Genomic DNA, 23,005 nt, shown 5'->3' on the forward strand with positions numbered 1-23,005 from the left:
GATAATGTGCTAGCTTTGTGTCCAGTTTATTTTGTTACACCTGTCTTTAGGAAAATAAAAGTCACTGGAAACCTAAATCACAGAAAATACACACAGATCCACATATCATCTATATGAGTTATAAATCATAAAGCAGTTTAGCTTTAAAATTGTACATTGCATATTCATGTGCACATCACATGCAGTTTTAGACACATGTGAACTCTTTACTGAATTAAAGCAAAAGGAAAAAAAAAACAAGCTCAGCTCTACAATAAGCGATTACCAGAGGCAGAACAGAGTGCAGTTAATATGCTTGTTCCAGCAGATGTTCATCCCCGTAAATATTAAACATAACACAAGTTCCTCCAGGAATATGCAGGCAGTAATTTTACCACCTGAATAGTGCTGGTTGGAAACATTTAAGAGATAGTGGGGGGTTGGGGGGAGCAGAGAAAGAAGGGGGAATAAGACAGATACTAAAGCAGCCAATGGGATTTTTAAGACACCCGCAACTGGAATTAAACTGCTTCCAGCGGCGATTTACCTACAGCAGCTCCCCAGTGTGAGATCCCCGAGAAACGGAACCTGGAGTGCCCCCCGGGCTGCGAGCTGTGAGCGTGGCACAAAGGGATACCCGGGGCGCCCGGGTGGGGTGGGGAGGAGGAGTGCAACTGTGACGAGGTGTGAAGAAAGGGCCCAGAGGAACTGTGAACCCCGAGGAAAGGAGTCTCCCTGGGCTAAGGCCTCTGGAATACTGGCACGGAGAAACCCTCGTTTCCCGCCCTGGATGTTCACTTTTCCATCTCGGTGGAAGTGGGTGGGAGAGACAGAAAGGATGCAGCCGAGACCGGGCGCAGGCGGGGAGGCTGGAGCATCCTCTAAGGGCACTTCGCAGCAGCACCAACTCCAGGGGGTCGGTGGTGCCAGCCGGAGGAGGGAGGGGGCGCAGTCGGAGGGAAAGGAAGTGAGAGGAGCAGGGGGCCGACGGGTGGATCCCCAGGCATTAGTGACGCAGTCTTCAAATCGCTTCTTTTCCTCCCCACGGCTGCGCTCTGCCCCTGGCTACCTAGATCACCAGTCCCTGGGCTGGGGCGGGCCGCCGCGAGGGAGGCGAACAGGAGAGGGGGAAACAGACGGGCAGGCGGCCACGCATCCCACCCGGGGAGGCAGAAAAGGGCTGGCGAGGCAGGCGCCCCCGACCCACCCCACCCCCACGGCGGCCGGCCGCCCGGAGCCCCCGGCCCAGGTGAGGACGCGCGGGCCGCCGCGGCCGCCCCTCGCCGCTCCCGCCCGCCCGAAGCGGCCGGCACGGGGACTTACCACAGTGACTCGAGGTCCCATTCCTGGAGCAGGGCTAAGTCGAAGCTGTCCATGGTGGGAGGTGTCAGCGTCGCCGCCGCCGCTGCCGCCGCTGCCGCCGCCGCCGCCGAAGCTCGGGCCGCCCGCGCGCTGCGACGAAAGGCGCCGCTCAAGGTGCATCCCAGCCGCGCCAGAGCGGCCGCCGCCCGCCCCCAGGTCGGGGCTCCCGACGCCCCCCGCCCCCGACTCCGGGCCGGCCGGGCTGGCTGCAGCGGCCGGCGCACTCACCCGCTCCCCGGCTTGCGCGCAGGCACACTCAAGAGAGAGCAGCGAGCTCGCCGCGCCGCCGCCGCCACCGCCCCCGGCCCTGCGCCGCCGCCGCCGCCGCCGCCGCCGCCGCCCCCGCCCCGCCTGGCCCCCGGCCCCGCCCCCGGCCCTGCGCCGCCGCCGCCGCCGCTCCTAGGGTTCCGTCTGCTCATCAGACAACAGATATTTATTGAATGTAAGTAGTTGCTGAGGTTTTATGCTTCACTGACATTCTACCCCCTGGGAATGAGTGTTCCTGGGAATGTGCATTTCTTTCCTTTTTTTTTTTTTTTTTAACAAAACCAGGTTTTTCCCTAAGGAATGCACCTTCCCCAAAGTTTCCCGCATCCTCCTGCCTACATAATTCACTTATATAGTCACTATGACATTAATTAGATTCAGAAGTCTGTGGAAACAGCAGAGCTCGGCAGGGTCAGAGGGCAAGCAGGGCAGAGAAAAGAGAGGGGAAAATGAGCCCCGGGAGAGGGGAAGGAAGTGGAGGGAAGTTTTTCATGCCCTTCAAGTACCAAACAAAACAAAGATAATTTCAAAAGTGGTCAGCCACTATAACACTGCTTAGAGAATTAAAGTATTGACAAATTGAAGAGTGCTTTAAAATAAAGTGGATGGGGCATAAGCATGTATGTCTTGGTGTTAGTTGCTCCTTATACAGCCGGTACTAAAGGCTGGTGGGTGAAGCTTACTACATTTTAAAAAGAAAAAGGCAGGCACACATACTAAAGTTGAAAATGCAGGCAGGAAGGACATTTACTTTTCATAAAAGCGGATCAGAAAAGCATCTCCTATCACAGATCATGTATTTTATGCCATGCTGACCAATGTTGGGGGATAATCTCATTATTTTGTGATATGAGAAGATCCTTTGATGCTGGTAACAAGAACCAATCATCCTGACTTAAATCTTAATATCCCCACAGGTTCTTTGTCATGCGTCTTCAAGATGTGCCCTGGCCATTCATGCAAGTTTCAAGGACTCTGAATCTGTTGAGAAAAAGAGGTTACGTTCCAATTCTGCTTTAGTTCCAACCCAAATGCTGAGAAACACTCCATGGAATTTAATTACAGGGCGATAACTGTGATCTTACCAAGATTTATGAACAGGAAGATCCTTGGTGATTGTAGTCAGTCAAAGGGTGGCTTTGACATAGCACCTATCTGTTAGGGCAAATACTGCCAGGGAAAAGGTGACATTTGGAATCATCTGGGATTGGACTCTTGATCAATAGATGCGAAATGTCAGGTGGACATGAGAACTGTTGGTCTTTGGTACATATGTGTTGCAATGAGTAAGGATGAGTAATGTGAAGGAAAAGTAGAATCTTGGGACCCCAAACTCACTATGCCAAAGGGAAAGTTAAGCGTGGGAGACTGAGTCAGGCAAAAACTGCCTTCCTTTTGTTCCCAAATAGATGGCTGTAATTTCACATGCTTGCGTTATGTGAAATGTGGATTCATTGAGTGCTAATCAGAGCCCCACAAGAATGAAAGCACTTGCCTTGCTGCCTACCCTCCCTCCTCTTTTTTCTTCCCCTCCTGCTTGCTCTTTTCCCTTTAAATAATGAAGTTCCCAAAACCCTCTTTGGAAAAAGCATAGGTCACAGATCCTATTATAACTTGCATTTCTTTTTCCTGGGTACATTCTCAACCTGGGCAAAATAAACCTCTAATCAACGAAGATCTGTCTCAGGCACTTTTTGGTTTAGAGTAAAAATAAGGAGACGTGGGAGCATAGAGTAGAACCTGGGCTTGGGGTAGGGTAGTGACTGTGTGTTCAGACTGAAAAGAAAAGGCTCTGATAACAAGGAAAAGCCTCTTCTCGCTGGTCAGACAGGAGACATATTCCAGTAAAACCTGACTCTGGTGTCCACCTCTCTCAAGACAAACACATGTAGAAATTTGAGATAGAGATAGGCAGAGCTTGGTTTAAATTCTAGCTCTGTCATTTTGTAGCATGAGACTTGGTCACATTCATAAAGCTTTTAGAACTTACTTCATGTCACTTGTTATATGGACAGCTGATCCACAAATAGCACACTTATTGTGAGGATTTTTTTTTTTTTTTTTTTTTGAGATGGAATCCTGCTCTGTCACCCAGGCTGGAGTGCAGTGGCATGATTTCGGCTCACTGCAACCTCCACCTCCTGGGTTCAAGCCATCCTCCTGCCTCAGTCTTCCCAGTAGCTGGGATTACAGGCATGCACCACCACGCCCAGCTAGTTTTTGTATTTTTAGTAGAGACAGGGTTTCACCGTGTTGGCCAGGCTGGTCTCAAACTCCTGACCTCATGATCTATCTTTGGCCTCCAAAAGTGAGTCACCTCACCCAGAGGAGTAAACAAGGTGGATTACATAAGCAATCTCAAGTAACTGATTCACAGAGCCTCAATTAATGCTATGGGGATTTTTTTCTCTTTTGGGGACTTCACTCAAGGAGTTGTCTTCCCACCCTGTTCATGACTCATTATCACTATCTGTCCATGCAATACATCCAATTATTAACGTTGTTCTGGAAAGTAGTCTACTGTTGGCAAATGCTTCAAAAACATAAATTATGAAATGCTGAGATGTTCCTGCCAATGATAATTACTAAGGCAGAACTCCAGCTACCATTTTACTAAGATTTCCAAAGGAGTCAAATATCCCCCAAAACTAAGCTCTTTCCTTCTGTATTCTATGAGCTCCACTGCCGTAGGATGACTGTGAGACACAGCAGTGGCATTAGAAAGGGCTCACTCCCGCTTCTTTTTGGTAAAAGGGGTTTTGTTGCTAAACTAGCAGAGTGAACCACTGAACCCTCCAACAGGGGATGAGGCTTTGAATTGTTATGTCCACTGTTAAACAGATTCCAAATGTGCTTGGCTGCACATTCAGGCCCTGGGGCATGGAGCTGGGATTGAGGCTCTGGTGCTGCCTGAACCCACATGCTGGGGAGTCAAGATGATTGAGGGCAAGTGCATTGGAGGGTGGGGGTGGGGGGAGCGTGGGGGTGGGGGACAGGGCAGGATGGAGAGGAAGGGGGTAGGGTGGGACAGGACAGGGAGGGTGAGGGCAGGGCACAGCAGGGAGGTGGTTGTTCTGCAGGGCTGGGTGAGTGTTAGGGAAAGAATGCTAATGCACCTAACCAAGAAGTATTAAGTCACAAAGTTTTGTTCTTGGTTGTGCAAAGAAGAATCACCATGTGACATGAGTCAGGTCCTCCTAGGAGTTGCCATCAGGGAGGGAATTATATGATATCCCTGAAAACCAGGTCTAAGCAAAGCATACAACACTATAATTGTCCTCTTATTTTTCTATAAAATGAGGATTTTCACATGTTCCTTATGAGTTGCTGTAGCCAAAGCCTTCTTCCTTGTGATCTGGGAAAAAAGGGTTCCTCCTGTTTGTCTTAGATCACCCTGCAGGTACATGTGGGTTGGAGCTGGTGTCACTCACTCCCAGATGAAGGCTTGGAGGTCCATGAAGGGGTGAATAAGACCAGGGTCTCATGGTTTCTTTATCCTTCTTCAGCTTTGTCTGCTTAGTTTTCAGACCATCCTGAAGGAGAATGTGGAGGAAGACAGGTGGCAGCCGAGTTCCTGACAAGGAACCCACGGGTGCGTGGGGACTTGCTCTTTCTCCTGAGTTGATTACCCTTTGCCAGCAGACGAGCACATTTCTCCTCTTGGCCTGGATCTTCTATTAGTAAGGGTGTCCGGGAAGTGTTCATGCAAGTTCTGTTTCTCCAGAACTCTGGAATGCTCATGGCAGATCAAGAACTCATCATGAGATCATGTCCTTCCCAACATGTACATTAATTTTTTCATTCTCCGTTGAGGATGTCCTTTCAGGGAACATAAGTGAAGGGCTGTCTTTTTCTCATCCATCCAATGCTGTGTTAGGGAAATGACTCACTCAATTAACCATGTCAGTGGTTGCAGGGGTCTTAGGTGTGTGGTGACCACAGGTAACAGGGATGTGTGACAGCAGGTGCTGAAGGTCGGGTATGGAGGTAGGTGTTTCATCAGGTGCTCAGCCCGTCAGGCCAGGCAGCTTCCACATACGCCACTTTGTCTCTTTCCTCATCTGTTTTCTTTCACAGCACTTACAACTGCCTGAACATTGTTTATTTACTTAAATCTAGTTTATCAACCACTAGAACACGTCTTCCTGACCACAGTTTTGTGTCTTTATTACTACTCCATCTCCAACATTGAGAACAGTGCTGGGAACTCAATGACTATTTTTTTGAATAAATAAATGGATTAAATTTTTTACTAAGTGACAATACTGTTTTAAGCACTAAGCTAGGGTTTGAGACCATAGTAATAAAAATATAGCCATTTTCTTTTCCAAATAGAACCTAGATTGTTCCAATGGATCTTAATTTTATTGCATTAATTATGAGAATAAATTCCACAACCCACTGTGGAAACATTTAAATCTTCACTGCTGCTGAGACTCAGGGGCTTGGTGTCAGGGGTTTTCCTTCCTGCTCCAGGGAAGGGCCCTCAATGTCCTTGGTGTTCAAGGTGCTCTTCCCCGGGTGCCCTTCCATGCTCGCCTTGTCTTGTTGGGAGCCTGCCTTAGATCTGAAGATCACACACAGTTCTCACACAGAATTCAAAATCCATGCAACTTTGCCCAGAGAGCATCAGCTCTGCAAGTCATTCATGATTTCCCAGTTGAAGCAAGAAGCAATGCTGTGGAGGGAAGGAAGGATTTCTCCAGAGCCCAAATCCAGGTGAGCTTCAAAAACCCTTGGAGTTTTCTGAGTGACAGCAGTGTCTTAGAGATGCTAGTGAGGTGACTGTGATGAGCCCCTAGATAGCTTCAGGATGGGGACAGGTCACCAGAAAGATCAACTATGCAATTACAGGGTTGATACTTTGACCCAGCCCAACCTGGGGGTGGGAGGAGCAGGAGATTGAGTTTGATTATGTGGTCAATGATTTAATCAACCAAGCCTACATAATGAAACCTCAGAAAGCTCTCTAGACACTGAGGTTCAGGGGAGCTTCTAGGTTGGTGAACACTTTGCTGACCAGGAGGGTAACCAGCAGTGACTCCATGGGGAGAGGGCACACAGCTCTGCATTCCCTCTAGACCTCACCCTATACATCCCTTCATGTAGTTGTTACCAAGTTGTATGTTTTATAATAAACCTGTAATCATAATTATTGCTTACTCTTGAGCTCTATGAGTTATTTCAGTGAATTATTGAATCTGAGGGGAAATGAAATGAAAACCTCTGATTTTATAGCCAGTTGTGTAGAAGTACAAGTGGCTTGGGCCCCCCCCCCCAAGGTGTGCCTAGCATCTGAAATCTTAAGAACAGCTTTGTGGGAATGAGCCTTTAAATATGTGAAGTCTGATGCTAACTCTTGATAGTTAGTGTCAGAATTGGATTTCCATATACCCCTGGTGTGGTTAAAATGGAATAGGGGAACATCAGATAATGTATACTGGAGAAGGAAGTGAAATAAACATAAGAAACCCTTTACAAAAAAAAAAAAAAAAAAGAAAGAAACCCTTTACTCACAGAGCAACTCTTGTAGGACACACAAGGATTCACGTAGTACAGAACAATTTCAGTGTAACTAATGAGGGACAGGGCCCAGTGATCACTCATTCCTCAGTCAGTATTACAGTTCTCACAGCGGGGCAATACTAATCCTAAAGTCAAAGTGGAAAAACTATCTGCTGGAATTCATCAGAAAACTCAAACCAGGAAAAAACTCTATCAAGAACCCTTTAGGAAGTCCTAGCTAGAGCAATCAGACAAAAGAAAGAAATAAATGGCATCCAAATTGGAAAGGAAGAAGTCAAATTATTCTTATATATGACATGATCTTAAATTTGGAAAAACCTAAAGACTCCACCAAAAAACTATTAGAACTGATAAATTCAGTAAAGTTGCAGAATACAAAATTAACATACAAAAATCAGTAGCATTTCTATATGCCAACAGTAAACAATCTGAAAAAGAAATCAAGGAAATAATCCCATCTACAATAGCTACAAATAAAATAAAATATCTAGAAATAAACTTAACCAAAGAAATGAATGATCTCTACAATGAAAACTGTGAAACACTGTTGAAAGAATTGAAGAGGACACAAAGAAATGGAAAGATATTCCATGTTCATGGATTGGAAGAGTCAATATTGTTAAAACGTCCATACTACTCAAAGCAATCTACAGGTTCAATGCAATCCCTAACAAAATACCGAAGACATTCACAGACATAGAAAAAAAATCCTAAAATTTTCATGGAACCACACAAGACCCAGAATAGCCAAAGCTATCCTAAACAAAAAGAACAAAACTGGAAGAATCACATTACCTGACTTCAAATTATACTACAGAGCTATAGTAATCAAAACAGCATTGTACTGGCATAAAAACAGACACATAGACCAACGGAACAGAACAGAGGATCCAGAAACAAACCCATACTCCTGCAGTGAACTCAGTTTTAACAAAGTGCCGAGAACAGACATTGGGGAAAGGATGGGCTCTTCAATAAATGGTGCTGGGAAAACTGGGTATGCAAAGGCAGAAGAATGAAACTAGACCCCTGTCTCTTGCCACATACAAAAATCAAATCAAAATGGGTTAAAGACTTAAATCCAAGTCCTCAAACTATGAAACTACTCCACAAAAACATTGGGGAAACCCTCCAGGACATTGGCCTAGATAAAGATTTTTTGAGTAATACCCCACAGGCATGGGCAACCAAAGCAAAAATGGACAAATGGGTCACTTGTTTAAAAGCTTATACACAGCAAAGGAAACAATCAACAAGTAAAGAGACAACCCACAGAATGGGAGAAAATATTTGCAAACTGCTCATCTGACAATGGATTAATAACTAGAATACATAAGGAGCTCAAACAACTCTATAGGAAAAAAATCGAATAATGTGATTAAAAAATGGACAAAAATTCTGAGTAGACATTTCTCCAAAGAAGACATATAAATGGCAAACAGGCGTATAAAAAGGTGCTCAACATCATCAGTCAGCAGAGAAATGCAAATCAAAACTACAATGAGATATCATCCCACCTTAGTTGGAATGGCTTTTATGCAAAAGACAACCAATAACAAATACTGGCAACAATATGGAGAAAAGAGAATCCATGTTCACTGTTGGTGGGAATGTAAATTAGTTCAACCACTATGGAGAACAGTTTGGGGGGTTTCTCAGAAAATGAAAAATAGAACTACCAAATGATCCAGCAACCCCACTGCTAGGTATATACCTAAAAGAAAGAAAATCAGTGTATTGAAGGGATATCTGCACTCCCATGTTTATTGCAGCAGTATTCACAATAGCCAAGATTTGGAAGCAGCCCAAGTATCCATCAACAGACAAATGCATCAAGAAAATGTGGTGCATATACCCTACGGAGTACTATTCAGCTGTAAAAAAGGAATGGGATCCTGTCATTTACAACAACATGGATGGAACTCGAGGTCATAGTGTTAAGTGAAATAAACCAGGCACAGAAAAACAAATTTCCCATATTCTCACTTATTTGTGGGAGCTAAAAATCAAAACAACTGAATTCATGGAGACAGAGAGCAGAAGGATGGTGACCAGAGGCTGGAAAGGGAAGTGGAGGGTGAGGGGAAATAGGGGTGATTAATGGGTACAAAAATATAGTTAGATAGAATGAATAATATCTAGTATTTGATAGCATAACAGAGTGACTATAGTCAACAGTGATGTATTGTACATTTTAGAATAACTAAAAAAGTATAATTGGGTTGTTTGTAATGCAAAAAAAGTATAAATGCTTGAGGGGATGGATACCCCATTTACCCTGATGTGATTATTATGCAGGGCATGCCTGAATCAAAACATCTCACATACTCCATGAATATGTACCTACTACATGCCCACAAAAATAAAATTAAAAAATTTCTAAAAAGAACCCTTTAGCCCACAATTCATTTAAGAACTCAGAATTTTGCCATGTGACTCAATTTTTAAAAGTAAGATAAAAATAGGAATTGTGATATTATTTGGGTTATTGAATGCAAAATTTTGTGACAAGTAATAAGTGATGAGGTTACAGATTAAATACTTTTCAATAGATTGATACTTTTCAATACATATGCAGCCAAAGTTGCTGAAAAATACCATATGTTGGTCAGTTTCTAGCTTTTTATGCAGCTCTAAACATAATTTTATTAGTAGAAATTTGGATCCATCAGAAAATGACTGAAAATGAACTGAGAGACACAAAATTATGCATCTTAACCATTATATTAGTATTATGTGTTCATACACATGGCAAATATTTATATGAACATGGATAAATAATGCATAATTTATGAATGAAGTCTGATGTTAATATAATTCCTCCTTTAAAATGTCAAACCTGTTCATACTTTCCCACCTACACTGCCATGGTTATTCCTCACCTTGACAAGCAGGAGAGGGCAGGGAGAGGAGGCTAGGAGGGAGGAAACAGGCAGAAGGAGACGCCGCAGGAGCATGCAGTATGCGGGTGAGTGTCCCCAGCCGTACTGGGGCAAGGATGGACTGGTGGCGGGGGATGAAGGGCAGTAGGAGCAGAAAGAAGGAAGAGGGCTGCACAGGCAAGGCACTGATGGGGCAAATGAGGCGGTGAGGTTTAGTATCGAGAGCATCACAGCCACAGAGGAGAGGAAATGCAATGAAGATGTGGGTGTGTTGTCCTGGGAAGCTCACGCCTCCTCATGAGGGTGCTACCAATTCTTGTGAGAATCAGATCAGCTGAAGCATACAGAGCACTCTCTCTGCTGAACAGCGGGAGCTCAGTTCCTGTTGTTTCCCTCTCTCATCTCTCCCAGTTCTTTCTGATAAACCTTGAGCTGCTCCTCCTTGTAAATTAGAACCTCCAACTTTCTAAGTTGGAAGGGGACTGAAAGGCTATTTTGGTAGACACAATTCTAAGACAGTCCCCCAGATTCTGTCCCCTGGAGTCCACTCCTGTACAATCTCCTCCCATTGAGGGGGGCCTGGACTTCTGAATATATTGGGATGTCATTTCCCTAATTAGATAACCTTACATGGCAATGCTGGAGGTGGCAGGGGTGGGGGGTGGTTGCAGATATATTTAAGGTCTATAGTATTCTGACTGTGATATAATCAAGAGGTATATTTTGTCTAATTAGAAGAGTCCTTTTGAAGAGAGTCTATGGGTCAGAAATGAAGGAAGTCTGAGAGACATTCCTAACACTCAACATAAATCAATTGGTAATTTGAGGTTTCCAGTCATTTGTTTCACATAAATAGAACTAACAGAGGTATCTAGACTCCTCTGCCCTGTTCCCTGGATCCTAGTCCTAGTTTTAACCAGTTACTAAATCCTTGTCAACAAAGGATCATCCAGCCTGTTCCTAAACAATCCCAATGTAGGGACCTGACTGACACCTAAGGTAGATTAATTTGGTTTTATAAATAGGGTTAATAATTATAGTAGTGGGGCCGGGTGCAGTGGCTCACTCCAATAATCCCAGCACTTTGGGAGGCCGAGGAGGGCAGATCACGAGGTCAGGAGTTCGAGACAAGCCTGGCTAACATGGTGAAACCCCGTCTCTACTAAAAGTACCAAAATTAGTAGGGCATAGTGGTGCACGCCTGTAATCCCAGCTACTCAGTAGGCTGAGGCAGAAGAATCACTTGAATTCGGGAGGTGGAGGTTGCAGTGAGACGAGATCACGCCAGTGCACTCCAGCCTGGGTGACAGAACAAGACTCTGACTCGAAAAAAAAAAATTATTATTATTATTATTATTATTATAGTAGTGATTCTTTTTACCTGTTCAGCACTAAGTAGATGCCAGCTACCATGCGAAGTCCTTGATCTTATCAAATTTTTACAATAGCCTCATGTGGACAAGAGAGAAGGGCAGGGTAGCTAGGTGAGAATCAACCATTTAGTTCAACCTCATTCAGTTGTGAGGAATCTCAGGCCCAGATATGTTAAGCTTGGGGGTTACAAAGCTCCCTGCTGCTGTTTTCAACCATTAGCATAACCCAGAACACCTAGATGTTTCCTCTATTTTCTATGAACTCAGCAAAAGTATCCTTGACCCACACAATCTCCTATGGTTGTGCTTGTATGCACTACTCTTGTGCTGTGACCAGAATTCAGTTCACAGCAGCCTTTCATGTTGTCACAGTGTTAACTTAGCACATCTTCAACACCACCAGCCTGTGATGTACTTTAGAGAATTGTACATTTCTGGCTATATATGATTTAAACACAGTCAAACATCTATCATACTGAAAATTCAAAATTCATAAATCTATAAAATGCTTTAGAGGCTCAGAAAAGAAGTGAGCTGGCATTGAGAACTTTTCATATATTTGAGTTTGTCATTTTAATTAAGTTTTGAATGACTGTAATACTCATTATTATCCAAACAGGTTTTAAAGGGACTCTTGTATGACATCAGTTTTTTCTGGAGATAAGCTAACAAATGGTGTGACATGCTATGAAACAGGTTTTATTGTTAAGGGAAGAAATATATATTCAGCAAAGCATATGTGTTGTCCATAAAACATACCACATTATGTGACCTTGTCAGTAGTTAAAAATCAAGTCAAGTTCCATCCAACCCTAACATTCATTAGGCTAAATTTCTTAAAAACAATTGTATCATATTAAATAATAATTGTAATTATTTCTCAAACTTTCTAATCTTGCACCTATTAGAAGTGTTTTTTGTTTTCTTTTTTTTTTTTTAGATGGAGTCTCACTCTGTCACCCAGGCTGGAGTGCAGTGGCATGATCTCAGCTCACTGTAACCTCTGCCTTCTGGCTTCAAGCAATTCTCCTGCCTCAGCCTTTCAAGTAGCTGGGATTATAGGTGCCTGCCACCATGCCCAACTAATTTTTTGTATTTTTAGTAGAGACAGTGTTTTGCCATGTTTCACCATGCCTGACAAGGCCAGACTGGTCTCAAACTCCTGACCTCAGGTGATCCACCCACCTCAGCCTCCCAAAGTGCCGGGATTACAGGTGTGAGCCACTGCGCCCGCCTCAGAACAGTTCTTAAAGGATGCCTCTACTCCTCTATTTGTCTATGGGTTTATTACCTTATATTAAAGCATCTTAGAGACTTTTCAGGACAATACACATGGCTTTTACCATCACTGGAAAGTATTTCTTGCAAATACTTGATAACTTTAACAAAGTGATCTTCCCTGTTTCAGCTGACACTAAAGACACACTCATCCTCCGATGAAGCCGCACACATCAGCTAGCAAGAGTATCAGTGTTTCCACCGTGGAGGTTCGATTCAGTTGCTCTGAACGCTGGTCATACCAAATATACCTCTCTCTGCTCTCCACTGAAAGAAACTCAGCTGGGTGTTCATTCCAAAGTTAGGTTTCTATACTTCTTTGGAACAAATCATCTGAGTTGTGTAGTAAAGAGAAGTCATAATGCAATTCATAGACATATGAATAAAATGCTAAAGGTTTCACAAATGCTAAATTGTAGGGATATTTCAGGCAGTATATGGTTTCCTTTCTATTACTAAGGGTAAATTCATTTTTTATACATGTTTATTTTAAGCTAGTCTTTATTTATTTATTTATTTATTTATTTATTTATTTATTTATTGAGATGGAGTCTCTCTCTGTCACCCAGGCCAGAATGCAGTGGCACAATCTTGGCTCACTGCAACCTCCGCCTCCTGGGTTCAAGCGATTCTCCTGCCTCAGTCTCCCAAGTAGCTGGGATTAGAGGCATATGCCACCATGCCCAGCTAATTTTTGTGTTTTTCGTAGAGATGGGGTTTTGCCATGTTGGCCAGGCTGGTTTTGAACGCCTGACCTCAGGTAATCCGCCCGCCTCGGCCTCCCAAACTGCTGGGATTACAGGCGTGAGCCACTGCGCCCGGCCTAAGCCAGTTTTTTAAATGGGGAATATAGAATTCTAATTGTGTCTCATTCTCTGTTGTACAGAAAATTGAAGAGTTATGCAATAGTACTGGGGGTTACAATATAAATACTCTTTTAAAGGTAAGGCGGGCTAAGCAATTTTTACACCTAGAAAATGAAAAACCAAAATGTTTTATTTTCCATGGAAAGGTAACTTGTAATCAGTCCACTGAAAGTATATTGGTTAGTGTTGTTTATTTGGCTTAGACTTAGAGGATAAGAATTTGTGAGACAGATCCTCTTAAAGAGGTATAAATGTTAGGCCAGGTGCGGTGGCTCACGCCTGTAATCCCAACGCTTCGGGAGGCTGAGGTGGGTGGATCACCTGGCCAATGTGGTGAAACCCCGTCTCTGTTAAAAATAGAAAAATTAGCTGGGTGTGATGATGTGCGCCTGTAGTCCCAGCTACTCAGGAGGCTGAGGCAGGAGAATTGCTTGAACCCGAGAGGTGGAGGTTGCAGTGAGCCAAGATCACGCCATTGCACTCCAGCCTGGCGACAGAGCGAGACTCCGCCTCAAAAAAAAAAAAAAAAAAAAAAAGGTATAAATGTTAAAAAATTTAAAATTCCTTTAGCTTAATATTTTTTTCCGACAATCTCCTTCAACTTAAGTTTAATGGAAATTTAGGACCCTGTAAGAAGTAGTTTGATGGAAATGCAAGACCATGGCATTCTAACCTTGATGTTAAACAACTGGGTTGAGAATGACAGGAACAAAAGTTAGTTTACCTTAGACAGTACATTCAAATTACTACCAAACTGAACCAAAAGTTTAGTGTGTAGGTATTATTAATGATTTTTTTTTTTTTGAGACAGGGTTTTGCTCTTTTTGCCCAGGCTCAATCAAGTGCAATGGCGCAATCTTGGCTCACTGCAACCTCCGCCACCCCAGTTCTCCTGCCTCAGCCTCCGGAGTAACTGGAATTACAGGCACCCATCATCACGCCCAGCTAATTTTATATTTTTAGTAGAGACGGGATTTCACCAGGCTGGCCAGGCTCGAACTCCTGACCTCAGGAGATCTGCCCACCTCGGCCCCGCAAAGTGCTGGGATTACAGGCGTTAAGCCTGTTAATGATCTTATAGGGCAAAGTCGTCCTTGAACATCAGGCATATTTAAAAAAACACTTTTTAGAGTCGTTGATTTGAATCATTTTGAAAGGAAAACTAATTTTATACCTCAAAACGAATTTAGATTATGTCTAGTCATAATTATTTTATAGTCATAAATGTCTGTTTTCTAAATCTGGGGATCTTGCTCAGTGTAATAAAATATTCATTTTTGTACCTATTAGATTCACTTAACTACTAAAGCTGGTATTTTTTATTACCTCATATGCTGATAAGATAATGAATATTTTCTTAATAAATGTTCAGTAATATTGGGAAGATCATGGTGCTATATGAATCATGTTTCATATATAAAGAAATCAAGGATAAGAAAGGCATATAGATATATTATTTGCGCTATGTTACTAAGAATGGATATCATCTGTCTCAGCCCATCTGGGTTGCCATAAAAGAATACCTGAGACTAGATAGTTTATAAAGAAAAATGATTTATTTGGCTCACAATTCTGTTGGCTGAAAGATTGGGCATGTGGTGAGGGCCTCTGGCTGCCTCCACTCATGGAGAAAGACAAAGGGGAGTTGGCATGCAGAAATCGCATGGCGAGAGAGGAAGCAAGAGAGAGAGGAGGAGGTACCAGGCTCCTTTAACAACCAGCTCTCATGGGAACTAACAGAGCAAGAATTCACTCATAAATCCCCCGCCAGGGAGGGCATTAATCTACTCATGAGGGAGCCAACCCCATGATCCAAACACCTCCCATTAGGCCCCACCTCCAACACTGGGTATTAAATTTTAACATGAGGTTCAGGGGCCAACATCTAAACCATAGCATCATCTGTTGTGTATAACAAAAAAAAAAAATGAAGAATATTTGTGGAAACATCACTTAAGTCTATGCGAGATTTCACAAATACCTTGCCATTCCTAGAAGTCGAAATGACTTTTTTATAATTTTGGATTGGCACATTTATAAACATTTTCCAAATACAGTGTCACCACCTATAACAGTGGTTTGATTTAGTATCTCTTTAGATCTTTCTACATGTTTACAGGAGAGTTTTGGAAAATTAGTTCATTTGTTCTAATTCTTTATACATTTATTGGAATGTAATAGAAACTAATTAGCTGGTATGTTTAATGTAGATTTCAGAATTGTCAATCAAATGTGCTGTGCTCATTACTCAACTATTGAAGCCAGAACTTTTTCTCAATATCTTTACCTTTTTTTCAAGCATTTCATTACCTTTTTAAAAACTAATACACTATGTTTAGAGCTTGGTTTTACAGAAAAACCAAGCAGAAAATACAGTGTCTCCTTTACTTCCTCCCCCACTTTCTCCTCATCTCCCCTCTTCCAGTTTCCTCTATCATTAACTTCACTGTAGTACATTTGCTACAACTGATTAACCAATAATGATGCATTATTATTCACTGAATCCTTAATTTTAATTAGGACTACCTTTTTTTTTTTTTTAGATGGAATCTTACTCTATTGCCCATGCTTGAGTGCAATGGTGCAATCTAGGCTGACTGCAACCTTTGCCTCCCGGATTCAAGCGATTCTCCCGCCTCAGCTTCCCGAGTAGCTGGGATTACAGGCACACACCACCATGCCTGGCTAATTTTTGTATTTTTGCAGAGATGGGGATTCACCATGTTGCCCAGGCTGGTCTTGAACTCCTGACCTCAGGTGATCCACCCGCCTCAGCCTCCCAAAGTGCTGGGATTAAAGGCGTGAGCCACCATCCCCCGCCGGGCTATGCCTTTATGTTTTGTACTTCTAGGGCTTCTGACAAATGCACAATGGCATATGTCCATCATCACAGAATCATAAAAAATAGTTTTACTGCCCTAAAAATCTGCTGTGCTCCACCTATTTATTCCTGGCTCCCATCCCCCACCAACTACTGATCATTTTACTGTCTCTATAGTTTTGCCTTTTCCAGAATGCCAAATGGTTGGAATCTTACAGTGTGTAGCCTTTTCTGACAGGCTTCCTTCACCTTGCAACATACATTTAAAGTTTCTCCATGATTTTGCATGGCTTAACAGTTCATGTCCTGGACAGCGTGGTGGCTCATGCTTGTAACCTCAGCACTTTGGGAGGCTGAGGTGAGCAGATCACTTGAGCTCACAAGTTTAAGACCAGCCTGGGCAACATGGCAAAATCCTACCTCTATAAAAAATTTTAAAAAATTAACTGGGCATAATAGTACATGCCTGTAGTACCAGGTACTTGGGAGGCTGAGGTGGGAGAAAAACTTCAGCCTGGGAGGCAAAGATTGCAGTGAGCCAAGATCACACCACCACACTCCAGCCCGGGCAATAGAACCAGACCTTGTCTCAAAAAACAAAAACAAAAACAAACAAACAAAACGGAAAAAATATATATAGTTCACATCCTTTTATTGCTGAATAATATTCCATGATATAGATATACCACAGATTGTTTATCCATTCACCTACTGCTTCCAGTTTGAGACAATTGTGAATAAAGCTGCTATACGCACTCATGTGCATTTTTGGTGGGGACATAAATTTACAACTTCTTTGGATAAATATCAAAGAGCTTGATTAGTAGATTGTATAGTAAGAGTATGTTTAGTTTTGTAAGAAACAGCCAAAGTCTTCCAAAGTAATGGTGCTGCTTTGCTTTTCCACCAGCAATGAGTGAGAATTCCTGTTGCTCCACATTCTCACCAGCATTCGATGTTATCAGTGTTCTGGATTTTAGCCATTCTAATCGGTGTTTAGTGATATGTAATTGTTGTTTTAATTTCCAGTTCCCTGGTGACATATGATGTTGAGCATCTTTTCATACAATTAATTATTTGCCATTTGTATATCTACTTTGGTGAGATATCTATTCAGATCTCTTACTTACTTGTTAATTAGATCATTTATTTTATTATTATTGGCTATTAAGAATTCTTTGTATAATTTGGAGTAAACAGCCACAGAATGGGAGAAACTATTCGCAAACTACACGTCTGACAAAGGTCTACATCCAGAATCTATAAGGAATGTAAACAAATCAACAAGCAAAAAAAAAAAAAAATTTCTCAAAAGAAAACATATAAGTGCCTAAGAAATATATGAAAAGATGCTCAACATCACTAATTCATCAAAGAAATGCAAATCAAAACCACAATGAGAAAACATCTCACGCTAGTAAGAATGGCTATTATTACAAAGTCAAAAAACAACAGATGCTGACAAGACTGCAGAGAAAAGAGAATGCTTATACAGTATTGTTGGGAATGTAAATTAGCTCAGCCACTGTGGAAAGCAGTTTGGAGATTTCTCAAAGAACTTAGAACTACCATTCAACCCAGAAATCCCATTATTGGATATATATCCAAAAGAAAAATTGTTCTACCAAAAAGACACTTGCACTCACATGTTCATCATAGCACTATTCACAAAAGCAAAGACATAGAATCAACTTAGGTGCCCATCAATGGTGGATTTGATAAAGAATACATGGTACATATATACCATGGAATACTATGCAGCCATAAAAAGGAACAAAATCCTATGCTCTGCAACAGCATGGATGCAACTGCAGTCCATCATCCTAAGTGAATAAACCCAGGAACAGAAAATCTACTGCCACATATTCTCACTTATAAGTGGGAGCTAAACATTGGGTACTCATGGACGTAAAGATGGCAATAGACACTGGGGACTAGTAAATGAGGGGGATGGGAGGTGGCAAGGGTTGAAAAACTATTGGGTACTATGCTTGACACCTGAGTGACAGGATCATTCATACCCCAAACATCAGCATCACACAATATACCCAGGTAGCAAATCTGCACAAATATCCGCTGAATCAAAACTAAAAGTTGCAAAAAGAAAAATAGAAAAAAAGAGTTCTTTGTATATTTTGGATAACAGTCCTTTATCAGATATATCTTTGCAAATATTTTCTTTCAACCTGTGGCTTGTCTTCTCATTCTCTTAATAGTGTCTTTCACAGAACAGCAATTGTTATTTTTAGCAAAGTCCAATTGTCGATTTTTCTTTTATGGATATTGCTTTTGGTTTCATACCTAAAAAGTCAGCCAAACCCATGATTACCTAGATTTTCTTCAATGTTATATTTTTAAAGTTTTATCATTTTGCATTTTACATTGAAGTCATTGATACACTTTGAGTTAATTTTTGTGAAACGTGTAAGGTCTATGTCTAGATTTTTATTATTTTTTGAGATGGGGTCTTGCTCTGCCACCCAGGCTGTAGTGCAGTGATGCCATCATGGCTTACTGCAGCGTCAGCCTCCCAGGTTCAAGCCATCCTCCCACCTCAGCTTCCCGAGTAGCTGAGACTACAGGCACTAGCCACCACACTCAGCTAATTTTTAAATTTTTTGTAGACAGGGGGTCTCTCTATGTTGCACAGGCTGGTCTTGACCTCCTGAGCTCAAGTGATTCTCCCATCTCCGCCTCCCAAAGCATTGGGATTACAGGTGTGAGCCACCATGCCTGGCTAGATTTTTTTTAATGTAGATGTCCAATCATTTCAGCATCATTTATTTCTGTATTAAATTGTCTTTGCTCCTTTGCAAATATCAGTTGACTATACCTGTTGGCATCTATTTTTGGGCTTTCAATTCTATTCCATTGACCTATTCATCTAATGTTCTGCTAATACCACATTGTCCTGATTGTTCTAGCGTTATGTTCTCACTTATAAGTGAGATAAGTGAGTAAGTCTTGAAATCAGATGGTGTCAGTACTCTGACTTCATTCTCCTTTAATACCATGTTGACTATTCTGGGTCTTTTGCCTCTTTATATAAACTTTAGAATCAATTTGTTAATTCCACAAAACAACTTGCTGAGATTTTTATTAGGATTGTATTGGATCTACAGATTAAGTTGGGAATAACTGACATCCTAACAATATTGGATCTTCCTATTCATGAACATGGAATACTTCTCTGTTTATTCAAATCTTTATTTTTTATCAGAGTTTTGTAGTCTTCCCCATATATATCATTCATACATATATAGTTTGTTTGTTTGTTTTTGTTTTTGTTTTTTTGAGAAGGAGTTTCCCTCTTGTCACCCAGGCTGGAGTGCAATGGCACGGTCTCGGCTCACTGCAACCTCCGCCTCCCAGGTACAAGCAATTCTTGTGCCTCAGCCTCGCAAATAGCTGGGATTACAGGCACCTGCCACCATGCCCGGCTAATTTTCTATTTTTCGTAGAGACGGGATTTCACCATGTTGGCCAGGCTGGTCTCAAATTCCTGACCTCAGGTGATCCGCCCATCCCGGCCTCCCAAAGTGCTGGGATTACAGGTGTGAGCCACCTCCCCTGGCCTATATCTTGTATATTTTTTAAGATTTTTAAGTACTTCCTTTTTGTGGAATTGTGTTTTAAATTTTAAATTCCAATTGTTCATTGGTGGTATATAGAAAGCAATTGACTTTTGTATATAACCTTGTAATCTGCATCCTTACTGTAATCACTTAACAGTTCCAGAAGTACTTTTGTCAAGACTCTGGGATTTTCTACATAGACAATCATGTCATCTGTAAAGAGACAAGTGTTTTGTTTTTGTTAATCAATACACCTTTACTTCCTCTTCTTATCTTATTCTTCTAGCTAAAACTTCCAATACAATGCTGAATAGTAGTGGGGAGAGGAGATACATTTCCTTTGTTCTAATCTTAGGGTGAAAGCGTCTAGTCTCTCATCAAGTATGATGATAGCTTTAGAGTTTTTTATTTTTTAGTTTTTTGAGACAGAGTTTTCTCTGTCGCCCAGGCTGGAGTGCAGTGGCGTGATCTCAGCTCACTGCAACCTCTGCCTCCTGGGTTCAAGTGACTCTCCAGCCTCAGCCTCCCAAGTAGTTGGGATTACAGGTGCCCACCACTACTCCTAGCTAATTTTTTGTAGTTTTAGTAGAGATGGGGTTTTGCCACGTTGGCCAGGCTGGTCTTGAGCTCCTGACCTCAAGTGATCTGCCGGCCTCGGCCTCCTGAAATGCTGGGATTACAGGCGTGGGGCACCGAGCCCGACCATCTTTAGGGTTTTTATAGATGCTTTTTACCAAGTTGACCATGTTCTCCCCCAATCCTGATTTGCCGACAGCTATCATAAATGGGTACTGAATTTTGTCAAGTATCTTTTCTGCAACTATTCATATAATCATGACTTTTATTGTTATTCTGTTGACATAATTGGTTAGATTAACTGATTTCCAAATGTTAACACAGGCTTGCATATCTGGAATAAGTCCCACTTGGTCATGGTGTATATTTCTTCTTTTAACTTTGTTAGGCTTGAGTTACTACCATTTTGTTGAGGATTTTTACTTCTATATTCATGAAAGATATTAGTTTGTTGTTATCTTTTCATGTAATGCCTTTATCTGTTTTTGGTATTACGGTAATGTTGGCCTCATAGAATGAGTTAGGAAGTGTTTCCTGCTTCTATTTTCTGGACGAGACTATGGAGAATTGGTACAATTTTTTCTTAAATATTTGATAGAATTTAACAGTGACACCAACTGCACCTGGTACTTTCTGTTCTGGAAGGTTATTAATTAGGGATTCAATTTTTAAAACAGATGTAGACCTTCTCAGATCATCCTTGCATGATTCTTTCAATAAATTAGTCCATTTTACCTAGGTTATCCAATTTATAGGCATAGAGTTGTTTAAAATATTCCTTTATTACTCTTTAAATTTCATTTAAACATCCCTGGGGTCAATATTGATCACTCTTCTTTTATTCTAATATTAGTAATTTGTGTCTTTATTCTTTTTTCTTGATTAGCCTGACTAAAGGTTTATCAATTTTACTAATATCTTTAATGAAAATGCTACATGCTTTGTATGATTTCTACTTTTTCTATTCTTTTATACTTGTGGAAGTATGTTTTATGGCCCAGAATGTGGTCTACCTTGGGGAATATTTCATGTGAGCTGGAGAATATGTAACCTGCTCTTGGATGAAGTAGTCTCTAGATGTCAATTAGATTCATGTAATTGATGGTTCTGTTAAGTTTAACTATATCCTTATGATTTTATGCCTGCTGAATCTGTTCATTTCTGAGAGGGGTGTTGAAGCCTCCACATGTTATAATTGATTCATCTACTTCCACTTGCAGTTATATTTTGATGCTTTGTTGTTACTCAAATACACATTAAAGACTGTTGTGTCTTCTTGGCCGGGCGCAGTGGCTCACGCCTGTAATCACAGCACTTTGGGAGGCCGAGGCAGGCGGATCATGAGGTCAAGAGATTGAGACCATCCTGGCCAACATGGTGAAAACCTGTCTCTACTAAAAATACAGAAATTAGCTGGGCATGGTGGCCTGCGCCTGTAGTCCCGGAGCTACTTGGGAGGCTGAGGCTTGAACTCAGAAGGCGGAGACTGCAGTGAGCCGAGATCATGCCACTGCACTCCAGCCTGGCGACAGAGTGAGACTCCATCTCAAAATAAAAAAGAAAAGAAAAGAAAATGTTATGCCCCATATAACAGCAGAGTAACAGAGTAACATAAAATAAAATTACATTTTATAACAAAAAAAAAACTGGGTATAGAAGAAACATACCTCAAGGTAATAAAAGCCATATATGACAGACTCACAGCTAGTATTGTACTGTATAAGGAAAAACTAAAAGCCTTTTATCTTAAATCTGGAAGATGACAAGGATGCCCAGTTTTACCACTGTTATTTAACATAGTATTGGAAGTCTTAGCTAGAGCAATCAAGACAAAAAGATAAAGGACATCAAAATTGGAAAGGAAGACGTCAAATTATCCTTGTTTGCAGGTGATATGATCTCATATTTGGAAAAACCTTAAGACTCCACCAAAAATCTAATAGAACTGACAAACAAATCCAGTAAATTTGTAGGATACGAGATCAAAAAACAAAAATCAGTAGCATTTCTATATGGCAGCAGTAAATAATTTGAAAAAGAAATTTAAAAAGTAATCCCATTCACAATAGCCACACATAAAATTAAATGCCTAGGAATTAACCAAAGAAGTGATCTCTACAATGAAAACTCATGCAAGAAATTGAAGAGGACACACAAAAAATGGAAAGATATTCCACATTTATGGATTAGAAGAATTAATATTGTTAAAATGTCCATACTACCCAAAGCAATCTACAGGTTCAATGCAATCCCTATCAAAATACCAAAGACATTCTTCACATAAATAGAAAAAACAATCATAAAATTCATATGAAATCACAAAAGACCCAGAATTACCAAAGCTATCCTAAGCAAAAAGAACAAAACTGGAGGAATTACATTACCTGTACAGAGCTATAGTAACCAAAACAGCATAGTACTGGATAAAACCATGTACATAGACCAATGGAACAGAACAGAAAACCCAGAAACAAATCTACATGCCTACAGTGAACTCATT

At 41.4% G+C, this 23,005-nt stretch overlaps 1 protein-coding gene and 1 long non-coding RNA gene across 8 annotated transcripts in view, besides 1 other annotated feature; one reads left to right on the forward strand and one right to left on the reverse strand.

Annotated features, from left to right (window-relative positions):
- RGPD6 (RANBP2 like and GRIP domain containing 6) overlaps positions 1 to 1,644 on the reverse strand; it is a 97,255-nt gene extending 95,611 nt beyond the window's left edge. For 5 of the 7 annotated variants that reach the window (XM_047445731.1, XM_017004839.2, XM_011511770.3 and 2 more), the window contains exon 1: positions 1,303 to 1,431. In XM_047445731.1, the coding sequence (XP_047301687.1) occupies positions 1,303 to 1,323 (21 nt within the window). In that variant the 5' untranslated portion in view covers positions 1,324 to 1,431. Of the gene's footprint in view, positions 1 to 1,302; positions 1,432 to 1,569 lie in introns of those variants that run through there. The other 2 variants (NM_001384362.1, NM_001384363.1) reach the window with 2 other exon arrangements.
- Positions 756 to 1,328: an enhancer, noted in NCBI's record as "H3K4me1 hESC enhancer chr2:111367745-111368317 (GRCh37/hg19 assembly coordinates)". NCBI's record gives its function as "activates a minimal SCP1, AML or CMV promoter by ChIP-STARR-seq in naive H9 embryonic stem cells {active_cell/tissue: H9 hESC(naive)}" and the evidence as "EXISTENCE:reporter gene assay evidence [ECO:0000049][PMID:30033119]".
- A 69-nt stretch (positions 1,645 to 1,713) lies between the features above and the next one.
- On the forward strand, positions 1,714 to 3,283 carry LOC105373553 (uncharacterized). The gene is made up of 2 exons (NR_135529.1): positions 1,714 to 1,783; positions 2,526 to 3,283. It is a non-coding gene; the product is annotated as an uncharacterized LOC105373553 (long non-coding RNA).
- Positions 3,284 to 23,005: the final 19,722 nt, after the last annotated feature.

The sequence above is a fragment of the Homo sapiens genome, chromosome 2 (assembly GCF_000001405.40).
Source record: "Homo sapiens chromosome 2, GRCh38.p14 Primary Assembly".
NCBI lineage: Eukaryota > Metazoa > Chordata > Mammalia > Primates > Hominidae > Homo > Homo sapiens.